This window comes from Homo sapiens, chromosome 15, assembly GCF_000001405.40.
Source record: "Homo sapiens chromosome 15, GRCh38.p14 Primary Assembly".
NCBI classification, from domain to species: Eukaryota; Metazoa; Chordata; class Mammalia; order Primates; family Hominidae; genus Homo; species Homo sapiens.
The window spans coordinates 91,742,361-91,745,033 of NC_000015.10; the positions used below are offsets into that span (position 1 = coordinate 91,742,361).

General features: G+C 42.6%; 1 pseudogene; it reads right to left on the reverse strand.

The window, feature by feature from the left end:
• Nucleotides 1-253: 253 nt before the first annotated feature.
• Nucleotides 254-1,626, reverse strand: THRAP3P2 (THRAP3 pseudogene 2; annotated as a pseudogene).

The following is a 2,673-nucleotide window of genomic DNA, read 5'->3' on the forward strand; positions in this document are numbered from 1 at the left end:
AAAGTGGGGTGAGGTGGCGGGTGCTTTTAAAATCAAGATGGGAATGAGATTAAAAATCATCAAATTAATCCTTTTAGCTCCAGATGAAATGAAATTAAGCACAGAATTATTGGTTTCTAATAGGAAATAACCCGAAATCTAAACATCAGTTTCCCTTCCTGCCCTAGTCTCTACCCTTCACATAGAGAAGAAATGAGAAACTCAGCTAAAGCCCAGTGTGTTTTGTTCTGTTGAAGAGCAGAGCTTCACCCCAGGCTCTGTGGCCGGCCTCTCCTGTCCAGTGGGATGCAGCACGTGGGATACTTTCGGCTGTAGTAGGATTCCGCAAGGCAGGTGGGGTTGAGCATAAGATCTTCAGAGTCTCCTTGAGGCTCCTCTGTTAGCTCCTCACCCGCCATCTTCCTAGCACTTCTCTCCCCTAGGCAAGGGCTCCTGTCAAAAGCAGCCCCCACTGAGTTGTGGGCTATAAGTTATCCTAGGTTCTCTGTCCCACTCTCATTATCTTCAGTCTCCCCTTCCTCCCCACTGAACTTGTCATGGGCCCTTCTGGGGCTGGGGCTAGACTTCTGAAACATGAACCTCCCCAGCCTTGGCCCTGGCTCTGGCTCACCCACTTCTCTCTGCCTTCAACTTCACAGTCATTGTGTGAGTAACACTTCTTGCTTTTGAGTGTATACTCTGGGTTCCACTGCTAGTCCTGGTTTCTCTTTTGAAAATCATTGTTGCTACTGTCATTCCAGAGTAACTGACTCTTCCCAAGCCACTCCCCCTGGCTGGAAATGGGAAGGCCCCTCGAGCTCTGCTGCTCCTCTTTCTCTTGGACCCACAAAGTTTTGGTCCCCAGTCTCAATTTTTCAAAGCCCAGGTGCTCTTCTTTCCCTCCTCTGTTTCTTCAGTGCACACTTCTGCTTTGCAAGAGTGAGATGCCTGGGAGGAAGGGGATGATGACCTGGGCCAGTCTGTGTTCTGACAGCTTTTCCAGTTTGATCCCTTGAGTTTTCTCTGTTTTCTCAGCTGATCTTTCCCTTAAGTGGCTTGAGTCTCGGAAATCCACTGATTCTCTTGATTTACCTCTTTTAAGCTCTTTCTCCTTATGTTTTTTACCATGTTCAATATCAAGGTGAAGATCAATGGGATCTTCTTTTTATTTTCCTCTGGCCTTGAAGCCAAGTTGCTGGGGAATTCTCATTTCATCATGAGCCAGGCCATGCTTTTTGAATGTGTTGAGGGAAATGTCTAACCTCCTGTGTATCTCTGGGCTTTTCTTGTTTTTAGCTGCATCCTGCTCGGTTTAGGTATTTAGTAAAGCATTCATACAATGTCATCCTGAGGAGTGAAAGTGATGCTCCACAACATGGTGAACAAGGGTCACTATCTGCTGGGCAAACAATTCTGAGGGGCTACACTGAGACTGAGCTGACTGTATGTGCTGGAAAATGGGACAAAATTTCTGTTCCTTTTTGTTGCTGTGAACTAAATCCTGACAAAGCTTGTGTTCCTGAGCCAAAAATCCACTGGGTCATGCAAGGTCCTCATCAAAAGATTCCATCCAGACATTGACCTGTGTCTCTTGAATAATCACAAAGAAAGACTTTCCTGTGGGCAAGTCTTCTTTGGCTCCCATGTGTTCTTTTTTTTTTTTTTTAATTCTTCTTCTTCATTCCCTTAGGTTTCTGCAATAATCACATATTGCTTATTTTAGAAAAATATTTTTTCTTCAAGCAACCCTTCCTGTGTTATAGCAATAATGTGTCAATTTGCATTCCTACAACTATATACTTCAGTGTTCAGCTTACTCTATGCTCAGAATTTACTCTATACATTTTCCTCTAGCCCTCTTCCTTTCCCACTCTATACTCTTCCTAGTCAAGCTTTTCCACTCCCATTGCTTCAGTTACAATCTATATATTGATAACTCCCAAACATATATGGCATATCCCAGACTTCTCCTATGAATGCTAAACCTATGTATCCAGTTGCCTATTTAGCATATCCACCATGATCACTCACTGGCAATTCAAACTCAGTATATTTAAATCAGAACTCAAGGACCCTGCTCCATACCCAGTCCTCTTTCTGTTTCCTATGTCAGTGAGTGACACTCCTATCTATGCCATTGCATTATCTAGAAACCTGGTTTAACACCTCCCTATCCAACATACCACATATATCCAATACTTTATCAAGGCCTATTGCTTCTCCTTACAAAATATCTTTCAAATCTTTCCACACTGCTCCATACTCATGGACACTCCACTGGGTGAAGTCTTCGTCTCTCACCTGGATCACTGCAATAGGCTTGAATTGTTTTTGGGTTTTTTTGTTTTTTTGTTTGTTTGTTTTTGTATCCACAGAAGACTGCCTTCCTGCTGTCATCTTCTCTCTAGCCAAATTTATCATTTTGAAAACACTAATTCGACTCTACGTTTTTCAAACCTTAAATCTTTCAATAGTTTCTCTATTGATTTTTAAAATAAAATGTAAAAATCACCAAAATTACAGGACCCTGAGCAATATAACCTCTTTCTTTCTCATCACCCTTATCCTCCCCTTCCCCTTGAGTTTGGTAGCCTTATGCTATAGGGGAGGAAACCCCACAGATTCAGAATTTGAAAACAAGGCTTTGCCTTTCATAAGAAAGGTAGGAAGAAAGAAGACTTCTCACTAGCCATG